Source organism: Homo sapiens, chromosome 16 (assembly GCF_000001405.40).
Source record: "Homo sapiens chromosome 16, GRCh38.p14 Primary Assembly".
Classification (NCBI taxonomy): domain Eukaryota; kingdom Metazoa; phylum Chordata; class Mammalia; order Primates; family Hominidae; genus Homo; species Homo sapiens.
Genome location: NC_000016.10, coordinates 49969020 through 49987164, shown reverse-complemented (window position 1 = coordinate 49987164; position 18145 = coordinate 49969020). Strand labels below are relative to the sequence as shown.

At 43.3% G+C, this 18145-nt stretch overlaps 2 annotated features.

Annotated features, from left to right (window-relative positions):
* Window positions 13291-13791: an enhancer, noted in NCBI's record as "H3K4me1 hESC enhancer chr16:50007285-50007785 (GRCh37/hg19 assembly coordinates)". NCBI's record gives its function as "activates a minimal SCP1, AML or CMV promoter by ChIP-STARR-seq in naive H9 embryonic stem cells {active_cell/tissue: H9 hESC(naive)}" and the evidence as "EXISTENCE:reporter gene assay evidence [ECO:0000049][PMID:30033119]".
* Window positions 13792-14292: an enhancer, noted in NCBI's record as "H3K4me1 hESC enhancer chr16:50006784-50007284 (GRCh37/hg19 assembly coordinates)". NCBI's record gives its function as "activates a minimal SCP1, AML or CMV promoter by ChIP-STARR-seq in naive H9 embryonic stem cells {active_cell/tissue: H9 hESC(naive)}" and the evidence as "EXISTENCE:reporter gene assay evidence [ECO:0000049][PMID:30033119]".

Sequence of the window (18145 nt, the reverse complement as noted above, 5' to 3'; positions counted from 1 at the left end):
GGTTATGCCCAAAGAGCCTGAGTTGGGCCCCCCAATCCATTGTGGCCTTGCTTCTCAAACCTCTGGATGCTTAAGAATCACTTGAAAAGCTCGTTAAAATGCAGTTTCCCAGGCCCCATCCCTGCTATTTTTTAAATTCTAGGGCCCAGGGTTTATAAGTACTCAGCTCAGGCAACTCACGCTAGTAATCTTGGAAACATTTTAAGAATTCTGCACCAACGAATTGCTGGTACCAATGAGGCAAGGGAATAGGGTCTGGAGGCAGGGAACCTAAGGCCGACTTCCTCGAACTAAATTGAAAGGAAAACCCTGACTTTCCATGCCTAAGTAACCAAAGGACCAGAGGGTACTCCCTTTGCAAACCCTCACCTTTTCTGTGCGGCAGATGGGAAATTGAAAGTACCTCCGATTGGTTGTTTTCTTCAGCCAATCAGACTGATTGCGGGCCACTACTTTATTTACAGATAGTGAACAGCAAGTGGCCAGTGGGAACCCTCTAGCGGGTATTTGGACCCTAGAAGATTCTGCATCTAGGCCCTTGAGCGGCTGCTCGGGCCGCTCCCACCCTGTGGAGTGTACTTTCGTTTTCAATAAATCTCTGCTTTTGTGGCTTTATTCTTTCCTTGCTTTGTGTGTCCTGTCCAATTCTTTGTTCAAAATGCCAAGAACCTGGACACACTCCAATGATAACACCAATTCTCTGGGCAGCCTTGCAGCCTGCTAAGCCCAGCTGCAGCCAGCATGCGACATCTGGCTGGATGCTCTTGGTCGTAGTCAGGCTGCCTGTAATAAAAGCCCGTGGGGGACCAGGCGCGGTGGCTCACGCCTGTAATCCCAGTACTTTGGGAGGCCGAGGCAGGCGGATCACCTGAGGTTGGGAGTTCGAGACCAGCCTCACCAACATGGAGAAACCCCGTCTCTACTAAAAATACAAAATTAACTGGGCGTGGGGCGCATGTCTGTAATCCCAGCTACTCGGGAGGCTGAGGCAGGAGAATCACTTGAACCCGGGAAGGGGAGGTTGAGGTGAGCCAAGATCGCGCCATTGCATTCCAGCCTGGGCAACAAGAGTGAAACTACGTCTAAAAAAAAAATCCTGTGGGGTGTTGCTCTAGATTGGGGTGTGCACACCCGACTCTGGCTGGCCCCATGACCGCCCTGGTCATTATCCTGCTGCCTGCCTGGTATGGAGCAGGAACTCCTGCTCTCTGGCATTAAGTGAGTGAGCCAATGCTATTTGCTTTTCCCTCCCTTGGCACATTTGAAACGGTAAATAAGCAGCATTCATATACACTACAGTAGTACCTCCTTATCCACAGTTTCATTTCACAGTTTCAGCTACCCATGGTCAACTGCAGGCCCAAAATAGGTGAATACAGTACAATAAGATATAAATATATAAAAGCATATTTATATATAAATATATAAAAATTTATATTTATATAAAGAAATAAATATATAAATACTTAAAATATATATTATATAAATTATATAAATATAAATCTATGTATAAATAAATATTTATGAATATATTTATATAAATATATAATATTTGTGTTCTTTTAAGAATATGAATGTGTGGGAATTTGTTATAACAATAGAAAACTAATAAATGGTTCAAATGCCTTATGGTTTTGAATATTTCTGTCTGCAGCCTTGGCCTCCCAGGCTCAAGCCATCCTCCCACCTCAGCCCCCTGAGTAGCTGTGGCTACAGGTGCACACCACCACATCTGGCTAATTTTTTGTATAGATGGGGTTGAGACCAGCCCAGGTCTCAAACAATCTGCCTACCTTGGCCTCCAAATATTTAATATTATATATATGATATTTATATAGATATTATATAAAAATAAGTTTATATACATATATATATATATATATATAGAGAGAGAGAGAGAGAGAGAGAGAGAGAGGGAGAGAGAGAGAGAGAGAGAGGTCTCGCTTTGTCACCCATGCTAGAGTGCAGTGGTAGGAACATGGCTCGCTGTAGCTTCAACCTCCCAGGCTAAAGACATCCACCCACCTTAGCCCCCTAAGCAGCTGTGACTACAGGTGCATGCCACCACACCTGAGTATTTGTGTGTGTGTGTGTGTGTATGTGTGTGTGTGTGTGTTGTAGAGACGGGGTTTTGCCATGTTGCCCAGGCTGGTCTCGAACAATCCGCCCTCCTCAGCCTCCAAAGTGCTGGGATTACAGGTGTGAGCCACTGCATCTGGCCCAGTAAGATCTTTTAAGAGAAGGAGAGAGAGAAAGACAGACCACATTCATATAATTTTTATTACATGTTATAATTGTTATAATAGTTCAATTATAGTTCAATATAGCAATATAACAATTGCTATATTGTTATAATAGTTCAATTGTATTATTATTGTTGTGAAACTCTTACTGTGCCTAATTTATAAATTACACTTTATTATAGGCATGTATGTATAGGAAAAAGCATAGTATAGATAGGGTTTGGTGCTGTTTGAGGTTTTTTCAGGCATCCTTTGGGGGTCTTGCAACATGTCTCCTGCAGCTAAGGGAGAGCTGCTGTATAGCCTCCTACCAAAGGAGAATAGAAAAAACCCTGTAAAATGCAGACAGAAACATTCAAAACCATAAGGCATTTGGGCCATTTGTTAGCTTTCTATTGTTATAACAAATTCCCAAGCATTCATATTCTTTTTTTTTTTGGAGATGGAGTCTCACTCTGTTGCCCAGGCTGGAGTGTGGTGGCACAATCTTGGCTCGCTGCAACCTCTTCCTCCTGGGTTCAAGCGATTCTCCTGCCTCAGCCTCCCAAGTAGCTGGGACTATAGGTGAGCGCCACAATGCCTGTCTAATTTTTGTATTTTTTAGTAGAGATGGGGTTTCATCATATTGGACAGGCTGGTCTCAACTCCTGACCTCGTGATCTGCCCTCCTCGGCCTCCCAAAGTGCTGGGATTACAGGGATGAGCCATTATGTCCGGCCTCATATTCTTAAAAGGACACAAATTTATTATCTTTTAGCAGTGTGGGTCAGAAGTGTATCATGGGTCTCACTCGGTTAGAATCAAGGTGCATTCCTTTCTGGGGAGGCTGTAGGAGAGGATCCATTTCCCTGCCCATTCAGGTTATTGGCAGAGGGCAGTTCCTCTGGTTTGAGGACTGAGAGCACCATTTTCTTACGGGCCATCAGCTGAGGGCCATTCTAGAGCCTACTTGCATTCCTTGGCTTGAGGCCCCCTTCTCCTGTCTTCAAAGCCAGCAACAGCATGTCCATCTCACACTTCCATATATTGTTATAATTGTTCTATTTTATTATTAATTATTGTTGTGAATCTCTTACTGTGCCTAATTTATAAATTAAACTTTTTCATAGGTATGTATGATACTTGTGATCTCTTCTCCTCCTCCAACTCATGTCTTATTGCATCCTGGAAAGATTCTCTGCTTTAAGGACCCCTGTGATTAGATTTGGCCCATCTAGATACCCGGGACAATTTCCATCTCAGGATCTGTAACTTTAATCACACTTCCAGAATCCCTTTGCTGTATAAGTTAACATAGTCACAGATCAGGGATTTGGGGTGGGAGATATCTTTGGGAACCATCATCTTTTGCCTATGGTGGGCCATTTAGGACAGATGGTCTCAATAGTCCCTGAGAGCATCATTCCATCATGGCACAACAGTTATCCTATTTCTTTTTTTTTTCTTTTTGAAACAGGGTCTCCCACTGTCATGCAGGATGGAGTGCAGTGGTGTGATGTTGACTCACTGCAGCCTCTACTTCCCAGGCTCAAGTGGTCCTCCCACCTCAGCTTCCCAAGTAGCTGGGATCACAGGTGCACACCACCACCCCTGGCTAATTTTTTATATTTTTTGTAGAGACGGGTTTTGCTGTGTTGCCCAGGCTGGTCTGGAACTCCTGGGCTCAAGCGATCCACCCACCTCACCTCCCAAAGTGCTGAAATTACAGGCCTGAGGTTATCCTATTTCTTTGATTCTAAGATGCCATTCATTAAAAAAAAAAGTTTTTGTTATGGAAAGTGTCAAACATAAACAGAAGTAGAGGAACAGTATAATTTTCCCCTATGTACCCATCACTTTGCTCCTGTAAATACCAGCTGCTGGCCAATCTTGTGTCCTCTCTACCTTCCCTGTTTCTCTAGTTTGGAATTATCTTGAAGCAAATCTCAGCAAACATATTTTTGTCTATATGTGTTTCAATATGTATTGCTAGAAGCCTATGTAAGATGCAGTCCATAGTTTACTAATGTATCTCCTCCAAATTACTAATTTAATATCATCAAATATCCAGACACTGTATTTTCTTGTTATGCTGTACAGTTATTTATAGTTTATTTGAATTTACAGTTTATTTCAATAAAGCCTACATATTGCATTTGTTAGATGTCTCTTAAAAATTGTGGTGAAATGTACGTAACATAAAAATTATCGGGCCCGGTGTGGTGGCTCAAGCCTGTAATCCCAGCACTTTGGGAGGCCGAGGCGGGTGGATCACGAGGCCAGGAGATCGAAACCATCCTGGCTAACACGGTGAAACCCCGTCTCTACTAAAAATACAAAAAATTAGCTGGGCGCGGTGTTGGGCGCCTGTAGTCCCAGCTACTTGGGAGGCTGAGGCAGGAGAATGGCGTGAACCCGGGAGGCGGAGCTTGCAGTGAGCCAAGATCGCACCACTGCACTCCAGCCTGGGTGACAGAGCGAGGCTCCGTCTCAGAAACAAACAAACAAACAAACAAACAAACAAAATAAAAATTATCATAACCATTTTTAAGTGTACAGTGTAGCAGCATTAATACTTTCACCCTTTTGTGCAGCCATCATCTCCATCCATATACAGGACGTTTTTCTTCTTCTTAAACTGAAACTGTGTGTCTGTTAAATAACAATGCCTCTTTCCTCCTCCCAGTCCCTGGTAGATATCATTCTACTTTCTGTCTCTGTAAATTTAACTATTCTTGGTATTTCATATAAGTAGAATCATGTAGTATTTGTCCTTTTGGGACTAGCTTATTTTGCTTAGCCTAATATCTTTGCGGTTTATCCATGTCGTAGCATATAACAAAATGTCCTTTCAAAAAAATTATGATTTTAACCGTTTTTAAGTGTGCAGTTCGGTAGTATTAAGTATGTTTGTATCGTTGTGAAACAGATCTCTAGAACTTTTTCATCTGCAAAATTGAAACTCTATATCTGTTAAACAACAACTCTCTTATGCCTCATCCTGACCACCCCCTGGTAACCATCATTCTACTTTGTGTTTCTATGAATTTGATTACTTTTAGTTACCTCATAGAATTGGAATCATACAATATCTGTCTTTTTGCAGCTGCCTTATTTCCCTCAGCATGTTCTGAAGTTTCACCCACATTGTAATGTGTGACAGGATTTCCTTCCTTAAAGGCATCAGAGTATTCCATTGTATGTGTGATGGTTAATTTCATGTGTCAACTCGACAGGGTGCCCAGATATTTGGTGAAACATTATTCTGGATGTTTCTGTGAGGGTGTCTGTGGATGAGATTAACATTTTTAAAAACTTCTTTAAAATTGATATATAATAGTTGTGTGCTTTTTTTCTTTCTTTCTTTGAGATGGGGTCTCACTGTGTTACCCTGGCTGGAGTGCTGTGGCTATTCACAAGTGCCATCCTAGGATACTTCATCCTTAGACTCCTGGCCTCAAGTGATTCTCCTGCTTCAGCCTCCCAAATAGCTGGGACTATAGGTGCATACCACTGTGACTGGCTTTGTAAATGTTTCTGAAGGCTAGAATTTTACAGGGCATGTAAACTTGTCTCTAAGCAAACATGGGGTTAGTTTTGATAGACATTTACTCCTTATTCGAGGAACTGAAGCCTTTCCATGCATTCTGTAAATATTTAGTTATTTATTCATGTTTTAGAGACAGGGTCTCACTCTGTTGCCCAGGCTGGAGTGCAGTGACGTGATCATGGCTCACTGAAGCCTTGAACTCCTAGGCTCAAGTGATCCTCTTCTCTCAGCCTCCCAAGTAACTGGGATTCCAGATGTGCACCACCACACCTGGCTAAATTTTTAATTTATTGAATTTATTGGTAGAGACAGAGTCTTGCTATGTTGCCCAGGCTTTTTTTTTTTTTTTTTTTTTGAGATGGAGTCTCTCTCTGTTGACCAGGCTGGAGTGAAGTAGTATGATCTCAACTCACTGCAATCCCTCTGCCTCCCAGGTTCAAGCAATTCTCCTCCCGAGTAGCTGGGATTACAGGCACCTGCCACCATGCCCGACTAATGTTTTTTATATTTTTAGTAGAGTCAGGGTTTCACCATGTTGGCCAGGCTGGTCTCGAACTCCCAACCTCAGGTAATCTGCCCGCCTCGGCCTCCCAAAGTGCTGGGATTACAGGCGTGAGCCACCGTGCCCAGCCTATGTTGCTCAGGCTTCTATAAATATTTACAGCCTGCTGTGTATTGGGCACTGGGTGAGCAAGAAAGGACACATTTTGAAGCACATGCTTAGCCAATTTTTAGTGCTCCATAATTACTTATGAATAAATGAAATTGGATTCCCAGCTCACACAGGTGTCCCTAAAGCACGTACTGTAAGGTTGCCAAGCAGGTATAATGAGCAGGGAATTCTTGGTGTGTCTGTTTCTGAAAAGATACTAGGGAACTAAAAAGGACAGAGTAGAAAGTAGAACTGTCATTCTGCCTAACATGGTGAGGTATTCCAAGAGGGAAAGGAAATGCTATTCAGTCCCTTACCACGTCTCTCCATTTACACACAGCTCTGATAGGGTTTCTAGCACTTTGTGTGAGTGTCAGGTCATCGGCCAGGGCCTAGGAAGCCTCTGATGCAGCCTGAAAGATTTCACTCCTGTTCGTCATCTGCATTCCTTAGATAACTTCTCCCAATCACTAGGGTCAGCATTTTCTTTCTTCTATTTTTTTCCACTTACATTTATAAAATAATAAGGGCAAAATGCAATAAAATATTAAACTTTGTTGACCCATTTAAATACTTTACATGGAAGAAGCTGTCAAGGTTGCTGAGAATGCAGATCAGCTCTGAAGTTTTCCCATGGGACAGCCTGAAGTGTTGGCCCAGTGGTGATTGAGGGGCCCTGGTGTACCGCGAAGTGTAGGTGTTCCAGTTGTGGCAGTCACAAAACATCAAGGAGGTTCCAGTGCTGGTTCCTGAAACTAGAGAATTACCTAATCACTCGAGACCTAATTGTCTTTTTTTTTTTTTGAGATGGAGTCTCACTCTGTCACCCAGGCTGGAGTGCAGTGGTGTGATCTTGGTTCACTGCAACCTTTGCCTCCCAGATTCAAGCGATTCTCCTGCCCCAGCCTCCCGAATAGCTGGGACTACAGGCACCTACCACCATGCCTGGCTAATTTTTGTATTTTTAGTAGAGATGGGGTTGCACCATGTTGTCCAGGCTGGTCTTGAACTCTTGACCTCAGGTGATCCGCCTGCCTCAGCCTCCCAAAGTGGTGGGATTGCAGGCATCAGCCATCGCGCCCGGCCCCTAATTGTCTTTATGTATAGCATGTGAAGGACGGGGCTCTCTGAAACCCAGAGATCTAAAGTGTTTGCTTGGCAAACTCATCTGGGTGGCAGTTACTCATGGAGCACCTATGCTGTGGCAAGCACCATTCCAGTTGCTGGGAAATGGCAGTGAACAGGCAGGCAGAAATCCCTGTCTTCTAGGCGCTTACCTCCTGCTAGGGATTAGAGAAAACACAAATAAGTGAAGCTCACACCTGTAATCTGAGCACTTCGGGAGGCAGAGGTGGGATGATACCTTAAGGCTAGGAGTTTGAGACCAGTGTGGCCAACACAGTGAGACCCTGTGTCTACAAAAAAAGTAAAAACTTAGCCAGGGGTGGTGGCACACACCTGTAGTCCCAGCTTCTCAGTAGGCTGAGGTGGGAGGATTGCTTGAGACCAGGAGTTCAAGCCTGCAGTGAGCTAAGAACGTGCCACTGTACTCCAGCCTGGGCAACAGAGTAAGACCCCATCTCTAAAAAATAATAATAATAATTAAATAAATAATAAAATAAAATAAACCAAAATAAAACAAATAATAAAATAAAATAAACCAGCATTGAGGAATACTGGTCCATACCATGCATGGTAATAGTGACATGTGTGTGATAATAGTAATGATGACATGTTTGTGATAATAGTAATGATGATGGCATGTATGTGTGATAATAGTAATGATGATGGCATGTATGTGTGATAATAGTAATGATGATGATGTATATGTGTGTGATAATAGTAATGATGGTGATGTGTGTGTGATAATAGTAATGACGGTGATGTGTGTGTGATAATAGTAACGATGATGACATGTATGTGTGATAATAGTAACGATGGTGACATGTGTGTGTGATAATAGTAATGATGGTGATGTGTGTATAATAGTAATGATGATGACATGTATGTGTGTTAATAGTAATGATTATGACGTGTGTGATAATAGTAATGACGGTGATGTATATGTGTGTGATGATAGTAATGATGATGACATGTGTGTGTGATAGTAATGATGATGGCATATATATGTGTGGTCATGTATCAGATGCTGATGAATGTCCTGGAGAAAAGTGAAGCCAAGGCAGAGGGACAGGGAGTGCAGGTGGGAGTTGGGGGAAGGCGAGGAGGGCCCTACTGGGAGGATGGCATTTGGACAGAGCCCTGGGTGGAGGGAAGGAGCATGCCATGTGGTTACCTAGGGGACAGCAAGGGGCAAGTCCTTGTGGGAGAGAACAACTATAAGCCCATTAGAGAACAAGGTCAAGGTGGGGGCTGGGGGTGGGGTGTGGAGCACGGGGGCCCCAGATCATGGGGAACCTTCTAGGTCCCAGTGAGGACTTTAGCATTGACTCTGGGCCAGGTGTTGGCAAAGCCGTGGGTCTGGCATGGAGTCCACATCACCATAGCCCTCCTTCCATGGGCTTTTGAGTTACCCCAGAGGTCATTGCCAGGCTTTAGAGCAGGAGTCCACCACCTGTAGCCTTGTAGCCCTTGGGCCAAATCCTATCCACTTGTTTTTCTACAAAGCTGTGCACAGTGAGCCAGCAACTTCCCTCTTACCTGGTCAGTGAGGTTCCTTTATACATTTGTGATGCCATTTGTAATTGTTTTGTCACATTGTATATCCCATCCTGACTTCCTAAATGATTTTTTTTAAGGTGCATACTTTGAGATTCACTCTTGATGCCGTAAAGGTCAATGGGTTTTGGCAAATGCATAGTGTCATGTACCCACCATTACTGTGTCATACAGAATGGTTTCACCCCCCTGGAAAAACCCTGTGTATCACCATTCATCTTCTCCCTTTCCCTTTAAACCCCTGGCAACAACAGACCTTTTCACCACCTCTGAGGTTTTGCTTTTTCCAGAATGTCATCTAATTGGAATCAGATAGTATGTTGCTTTTTTAGACTGGTTTCTTTCACTTTGCAATATGCATTTAAGGTTCATTTGTGTCTTTCTTGTCTTGATAGCTCATTTCTTTTTATTGCATAATAATATTCCATTGAATGGATGTACCACAGTTTGTTTATCCTTTCACCTATTGAAGGGCATCTTGATTACTACCAGTTTTGGATGATTATGAATAAAGCTGCTATAAACATCTGTATACAGGTTTTTGTGCACATACAAGTTTTCAGATCAGTTGGGTAAACACCTAGAGGTGTGACTGGCATGATAAGACTGTGTCTAGCTGTGTATGAACCTCTGCTTTTTAGAGTATTATGGTAAAGCTGTGTCTGGCTGTTTATGGACCTGTGATTTTTTTTTTTTTTGAAACAGAGTCTTACTCTATTGCCCAGGCTGGAGTGGTGCGATCTCGGCTTGCTGCAACCTCCACCTCCTGGGTTCAAGTGATTCTCGTGCCTCAGCCTCCTGGGTAGCTGGGACTACAGGTGCATGCCACCATGCCCAGCTAATTTTTGTATTTTTTAGTAAAGACGGGGTTTCACCATATTGGCCAGGCTGGTCTCAAAATCCTGACCTCAGGTGATCCGCTCGCCTTGGCATCCCAAAGTGTTGGGGATACAGGCGTGAGCCACCACACCCAGCCGGACCTCTGCTTTTTAGAGAATTATGGTAAGGCTGTGTCTAGCTGTCCATGCACCTCTGCTTTTTAGAATATTATGGAAAGAACCTGTGACTTTTTTTGGTCTGTGTCCCTTTTACAATGCCATGTTACTCTTTTTCTATTTCTGGAGGCTTGATTGAAATTTCTCCAGAGGAGTGTTAAAATTCAAATTGTTTTCAGTGAAATTTAAAATTATGATGGAACTTCTAAGAGTAGATTCTTAAAAATCTTTTTAATTTTAAAATTTATCCCCAGTGGGCTCTACCCTGAGAATTTAATAGATCGGCTGACTTAGAAGTTGAGGTAATTGAGATACAACAGTAAAAAGTTAAAAATAATCATACTAGCATTCCTGGAGGCTTTGGGAGTGACAGGTACATTTAATTCGAAATTGCAAGGAAGGTGTTTCAGTGGACCTTATTTCCGGAGATATTTAAGGTTCTCTCCATGTAAGGACATTAGAATCTAAATTATTTCTGACCAGTGCAAAAACTTGAAACATGTCAGAAAGCTATTGTTGTAAAAGAAGGAACAAAATGGAACAGGAAAGAGGCTTGGATTTTTTTCAGCTTTATTTTTTATCCATTATGAAATTATAATTTTATAACTATTGATTTATAATACTGACGTGTAATAACACGTTGTGCATATTTAAAGTGTACAAATTAGAGATTTGGCTTATGGACATCAGACTATCTGTACAATCAAGATAAGGTACACATTTGTCATCTCCTGAAGCGTCCTCCGGCCTCTCTGTAATCCAACCCCCGTCCCTGTCTCCAGGCAGCAACTTATCTGCCACTTTTAATTGCTATAGATTAGTTAGCATTTTCTAGAATTGTATGTAAATTTATATATTATATATAATTTTACATAAGTTATATAAATGGACTCATATGGAAAATACTCTTGGTTGGGGGGAATTTTTTTGCTTTTTGGTATGATTACTGTGAGACTCATGCATACTGTTGGGTGGATCAGCCCTTTATTTATTGTTGAGTAGTGTTCATTTTATTCTGTGATGCTGTGGACTGAATTGTGCCTCCCCACCCCCGCCCCCAAATTTATATGCTGAAGCCCTAGCGCTCAATGTGACTGTATGTGGTGATAGGGCTTTTAGGAGGTAATTAAGGTTGACGGAGGTCATAAGGGTGGGTCGTAATTCGTTAGGATGGATGGCCTTACCAGAAGAAGAAGAGAGAGAGATCTCTCCTTCTGGCACGTGAGGACACCGCAAGAAGGCAGCTTACTGCAAGCCAGGAAGAAGGCCCACATCAGACCCTGGCCATGACGGCACCCTAAACTTGGACTTCCAGCCTCCTGAACTGGGACAGAAGAAATATCTGTTGTTTAAGCCGCCCAGTCTATGATGTTTGCCGTGACAGCCCAAGCTGACTAAGACATGGATACACCACAATTTGTTTTTCATTTACCTGTTGATAGGCATTCTATTTATTTACCTATTTATTTATTTTTGAGACGGAGTCTCACTCTGTTGCCCAGGCTGGAGTGCAGTGGCACAATCTCAGTTCACTGCAACTTCCTCTTCCTCAGTTCAAGTGATTCTCCTGCCTCACCCTCCCGAGTAGCTGGTATTACAGGCATGCGCCACCATGCCTGGCTAATTTTTGTATTTTTTGTAGAGCTGGGGTTTCACCATGTTGGCCAAGCTGGTCTCAAACTCCTGATGGCAGATGATCCACCCGCCTCAGCCTCCCAAAGTGCTGGGATTACAGGCGTGAGTCACTGCGCCTGGCCTTATGGACATTTTAGTTGTTTCCAGTTTGACTATTACAGAGAATGCTGCTCTGAGCAGCTGTGTACAGGTCTTTGTGTGGCCATGTGCTTTCATTTTTATTGGGTGAATATCTAGGAGTGGACGGGCTGGGTTATATGGTAGGTGTATGTTTTACTCTTTAATAAACTGTCCAACTGTTTCCTAAGGCACCTGTACCATTTTATATTCACACAAGCAGTGTGTGAGCGTTCTACTTCCTCCACATCAGCCTTGAGGTCTGAATTTTGAATTGCTCTTCCTTAGATGGTCCACCCAGAGGGCTCAGCGTTGGCTTGTGACATGGCCAGGAGAGGCAGGGCAGGCAGCTGCTTCCCTCTGGAGCCCTCCCTCATACTCTTCATGTTGTCACATGAGAATTTTTAGGTTTCTTTTTCTTTTTTTCCTTCCCTGCAGTCCAAAGTCACATGAGAATTGTTTTATGCCTATGTTAAATGTGCTTTCCATAAAAATTTAGAATGACAATATAGGTATCCTCTGACTTGTCTTTCTTACGTTGCTTTTCCTAATTATTTACTTGCAGACATCCTGGAGAGGGTTTCTGGGCTGTAATGTATTAAAAGAAATCTAGGTTTTAAAGTCAGACCGACTTGGATTTGAATTTAGGCTTCACGGCTTAGTTGTGGGGCAAGTCATCTGAGTTGAGCCTCAGTTTTGTCATCTGTTTAAAAACTTTTATTTGTTTGTTTTAGAGGATGGGATCCGCTGTGTTGCCCAGGCTGCAGTGCAGTGCAGGAGCAATCACAGCACACTGCAGCCTCCAACTCCTGGCCTCAGGTGATCCTCCTGCCTCAGCCTCCTGAGTAGCTGGGACTACAAGCATACCACCACCACTCCCGGCCCCTCCTCTGTTTTTGAAAGGTATGTGTGGAGAGGTTGATATTACCCAGCTTGTGTGGTTGTTATAAAGCTTAAATATAATGCATTGAAAACATCTTTATTTATTGAATATCTGGGATAATGTATTAATCTTCCAGGGTTATACTTGTAATTATAAGCTGCATTTTCTATTTAACAGTGGTTGACCTGCTACCCACTTAGTGACTAGGAGAAGAATTGACATTTTCATGGATGCCACCGTTAGAGGGAGGCCACAGAGAATATGGTGAAATGCAGTGGCTTTGCCAGGGCTTAGGGTAACCTCGCAGTGGTTAACAATGTCTCAGGCCAGGTGCAGTGACTCACGCCTGTAATCCCAGCATTTTGGGAGGCCAAGGAGGGTGGATCACGAGGTCAGGAGTTCAAGACCAGCCTGGCCAACATGGTGAAACCCCCGTCTCTACTAAAAATACAAACATTAGCTGGGCATGGTGGCAGGTGCCTCTAATCCCAGCTACTCTGGAGGCTGAGGCGAGAGAATCGTTTAAACCCAGGAGGCAATAAGCCAAGATCGCGCCATTGCAATCCAGCCTGGGCAACAGGGCGAGACTAGATCTCAAAAACAAAAACAATGCCTCAGCCTTGCTTCAGTCATTTGTACTGTAGTGGGGATGTATTTCATATGCATATTTATGTACTTCCACCAAGGCAATTCCTGCCTGAATGTAATTCCTCGACGTGGCCTGTTTGGGAATCCCTAGCCTCCTTAGGGACTGCTTAGTCTGTTTTTAGGGAGAACAGGAACACACTCTGGCTCCAAGAGGCAGGTTTCCCAGGCTTCTGGGATTCCAGCCGGTGTGTGTTGCCTGCCTTTTGCAGCACTTGGGCCCACGGGTGGTAAGGATGCTGCCTCTTGGCCTGTAGAATTCTTTGTCCAGCTGGCCGAAGTGTGTTGAGAGTGCATGGGGCCTTCCTTCCCATGGAGAAGTGGGGGCTTATTCTTTGATGGCTGGGCCAGACTGCTCACTGATGTCGCTGGAATTTGGAAGGTTGTCGTGAAATGGACAGTCAGGAGATTGATGTTAGCATGGGCAGGTAGGCTGGTGCTGGAACTGTGAGGGGAGTGGGAAGGGTGGGCGTTGGTAGGCAGGGGATTTGCTGTGCCAGGTGAAGGTGTCTTGAGGCCTTCTCTGCTCTGCCTGACCGCTGGGTTTCAAATCCCCTGCAGCGTTCCTCCTTAGAGCCGGCTGGCTTTCTTGGCATCATTTGGTTTAGTTGCTAGGAAGCGGAATAAGGCAAATGCAACTTCCTTTTGACTTACTCACATTGAACCATCTGCTTATTCCTTCTCGTGGCCTTCAAACTTGGCGAGGAGCATTGAGAAGAGGGTCGAGCAGAGCATCTGTGCTCATCCTTACTGGAAACGGAATGCTTTCTGATAACTCTTTAACCCTCTCAGTCCAAATTCATTGCAGTTCATCTTGGACAGCTCCTAGTCTCTTTCAGCTAATGGTTTGGAGCAAGCATTTTCTTCTTTGGTTTTGCCCCTTATTTTCATCTTAGATTTAGAGCTATGTTAACTATATAGCTCTTAAATGAGGAAGATGGTGGCTACGTACTTCAAAATATATTTGGCATGTAAATATTCATAAAAATGGTCTTACTTGAGGTTATTTAACACTTGGAATGTATGCACATGGATTGTGTAGGAATTTTCTATCACAAGCTCCATTGTGAAGTCAGTGTCAGATACATTAAAGGTGGCAGATGATCCACAAAAATTTATAGTGCTATTGAGGGAGCATCTATCAAAGAGACATTTTAAACAAAACCAGTGATGCTTGTTTTTTATAACTGCCAATTACTACCGGCATTTACCTATTTACTTTCGGGTTGAGTTTCGTTCAGTTGGGCAAATCAGATGCATTGTGTGGAAGCCCTTTTCTGCTGGTGAGTTTCCTGCCTCTCCCTGAGCCAGCGCTGTGCGTTCAGTTGTCAACTCTGCAAAAGTAGTTGAACAAACAAGCTAGGCAGAAATAGAAATAGGCATTACAAAATAGAGTTAGAGCTTCTGAAAAAAAAAAAAACAAACCTTGAGAAAGGCCATTGTTTGAGATTTTAAAATCCAGTTTAACTGAGGATTTAATCACCCCTGAGTGTACCAGAACTGTGGAAACTAATGTAGGAACTATGGGAAATAATTTCTTCTGAAGTGTAATTTTGTCTTTTTTTTTTTTTTGCAGTAAGCCATATAAACCTTTTCTGCCAACTTCTTATTCACCCCAAGAGGGCTACTTAAAGGAGGGTGAAGACATGCTAAGGTAAAATTTTATTGTCGTGGCACAATTTGCTAAAAGCTTTAGTAGTAATTCAAATGCTTTCTTACTGTGCAGACTTAGATGTTTGTTAAAATTGATGTCATTAATATTTGCTTTTGGGAAGTCCCTCAGTTCAAGTTGATCAGATTAAGCCATTCTGCTTTAACTTTTACCTTTCTGTAGTCACTTAGACTTTAGTGGCTAAAATATACCTACAGACTGAAGGACTTAGCCCCCCAGGCCTTTTTGTTCTTCCATTGTTTTGGTGTGGGTCACCTGCTTTGTGGGTTATCCACAGCAGACTCTTGAATCCCTTCCTCCACACCCTCACACCTCACCCTCTTGATTTTGCTACCCTCTAACCATTGGTATATGCTCAAGAATGTAAATGTATTCTATTGTGATACAAATCAGAACTCCAGAGCCAAATAAAAATATAAGTCACTTAAAACTGGATTTTTTTTTTTACCCCAGGAATGGATAGATCTATAAGAGCATGTAATAATAAAAAGTGGGTTATCCATAGCAGACCCTTGAACGAAAAGGGTCTTAACAAAAATGAAAAAGGGAAGATCAAAAGCTAGGTGTCTGAGACCAGTCTGGGCAACATAGTGAGACCCTGTCTCTACAAAAAATAAAAAGATAAAATAAAAATCCCTTTTCAGAACTCTCCCACTCTCCCATTTCCCCCCACCCTTTTTTTTTTTAACTGAAATGGCTGGCCCTGGCATATTGTCCTGGACTTGTTTCTTTCACTTAACTGTGTATCATGAAGGAGTCTTCATCCTCATTGTTTGTAACCACTGCGTAGCATTCTCGAGTATGTAAATCACTTTTTTTTCTCTTTTTTAAGTTGAGACGGAGTCTCAGTCTATTGCCCAGGCTGGAATGCAGGGGTGCGATCTCGGCTCACTGCAACTTCCTCCTCCCAGGTTCAAGCTATTCTCCTGCCTCAGACTCTTGAGTAGCTGGGACTACAGGCATGCACCACCACACTTGGCTAATTTTTGTATTTTAGTAGAGACAGGGTTTCACCATATTGGCCAGGCTGGTTTGAATTCCTGACCTCAAGTGATCTGCCTGCCTCGGCCTCCCAGAGTGCTGGGATTATAGGCATGAGCCACCACACCTGGCCTCGAGTATATAAATCACTTTTGAAGGCGACTTTATTTTGTTTACTCTGGCTTTTATATTCAGCAGTGAAGTTCCTCTAAGTAACTACATGGGTAAATCAACATGGCAGTTTAAGATTCTTGCCTTAAATCTTTCTCTGTAGTTTTGGTAAAAACAGTTTTCCTTGAACTGTATTTGAATTGATTTTTATATATATGAACCTTGACAGGGCCTCTCTCTCACTTGCATTAAAGATGAGATTTGTGTCAGATTAGATTAATAATTCAGAATTGAAAAATGCTTTCCTCGACTGCGGAAGCACTTGGAAGTGTAGAATTCAGGAGTGACTGTTCATGGAGGTTAGTTCTTCTCAGTAACATTTCCTGAAGATGAGACCTGGAATACCTGCACTGTTGGGTGGTCTTCTGAAGGAGATCTTCTTAGCCTTGACCTGAAAGAAACCTAAAGGCAGAGATGGATCACAATGGCCAACACTGACTCAGGGCCCACACTGCATCAGGCACCATTCTGAGGATATTGCCTGTATTAGTTCATTCAATCTCATAATAGCACTAAGAGGTAGGGTCGATTAATAATCCCCGTGTTACAGGTGAGGAAATAGTCATGATGATGTCAAGTAACTTAATCAAGGCTACTCAGCTTGTAAGCGACAGAGCTGAGATTCAAACCCAATTGCATTGTCAACATTAGGCTGCCTTCCCTGGATGACCAGGTACTGGCTTCCCAGGCTCCTCACAGTCACCTCTAATTGTTTGGTGGTGGTGGTGTTTACCTACCACTTCATTAAAAGAAAGTGTCTATGGCCAGGTATGGTAGCTCATGCCTGTAATCCTACCACTTTGGAAGACTGAAGTGGGTGGATCACTTGAAGCCAGGAGTTTGAGACCAGCCTGGGCAACTTAGTGAGACCCCATCTCTACAAAAAATAAAAAGATTAGCTAGGTATGGTGGCGTGCACCCATACTCCCACCTGCTTGGGAGGCTAAGGTGGGAGGATCCCTTGAGCCCAGGAGTTCTGGGCTACAGTGAGTCAGGATCGCGCTACTGATCGTGCCCAGGCTGTGGGCAACAGAGCAAGAGCCTGTCTCTAAAAACAACAATGATAACAACAAAAGAAAGTGTAGAAAGTGTGAGGGAAAGCCAGCAAGAACAAAAGGCAGCAAGGGTTAGGAAAAGCAGTTGGCTTACAGAACGGCCTCTAGAATCAATGGCCGGTGTTGGTCAAAGACAAATAGACAAATGAAGCCTGCTCCGGAGAGGGAAGCATTGTGTGCAGCTCAGGATTCTCAGGGCAGTAGCGGGAGGCATGGACTCAGGCAAGAGCTTTGCTTGGAAATGTCTGTTGGGAGGCTGGCTGTGGACAGCAACCCGAATAAACATCGGAAAGGGGGGAAGCACAGGGACGAACGCTCGCAGGCAGCTTGCTGAGTAGTCATGGTTTGCGGAGTGCACTTCGGGGCCGCCTCGCCGTGCAGCCTGACGCCTCTTGCTAGATAACAGCTAATTGCTGCCCGCCAGCGTGGTTCAGTCCCTGTCAGGACATTCCTTGTGGACAGAAACATTGGTGTCTGGATCCTGGGGAGCCACAGTAAAAATGCCTGATTTAGGGTACAGCGTACATCTACTTCTCCCTTTCTTCTGTTAAATCACAGCAAAAGGGACTATTTAGACAGCTGATAGATGACCCAGCATCTGTGCACTATTTTGCATGTCTTTAGCAAGGGAAAATAGCCTGCTCACAGGCGCTGTGGAGCGTTTATAAGTAAAGGGAGCAGATCTTGTTCACTCATTCTTTACTCATATCCATATCCAATGAAGACCTTCCAAGAGGAGCATCCCCAATTTTAAAGATGAACGCTTCTGATAAAATTATCTCAAACCCTTTGGACTAAACACCTTAAAGTGTGAATATATAGCTCTAGCTATCTTTCTATCTAATCTATAACAAAGATCAGTGGCTCCATATAGCACTTTTCATCTCC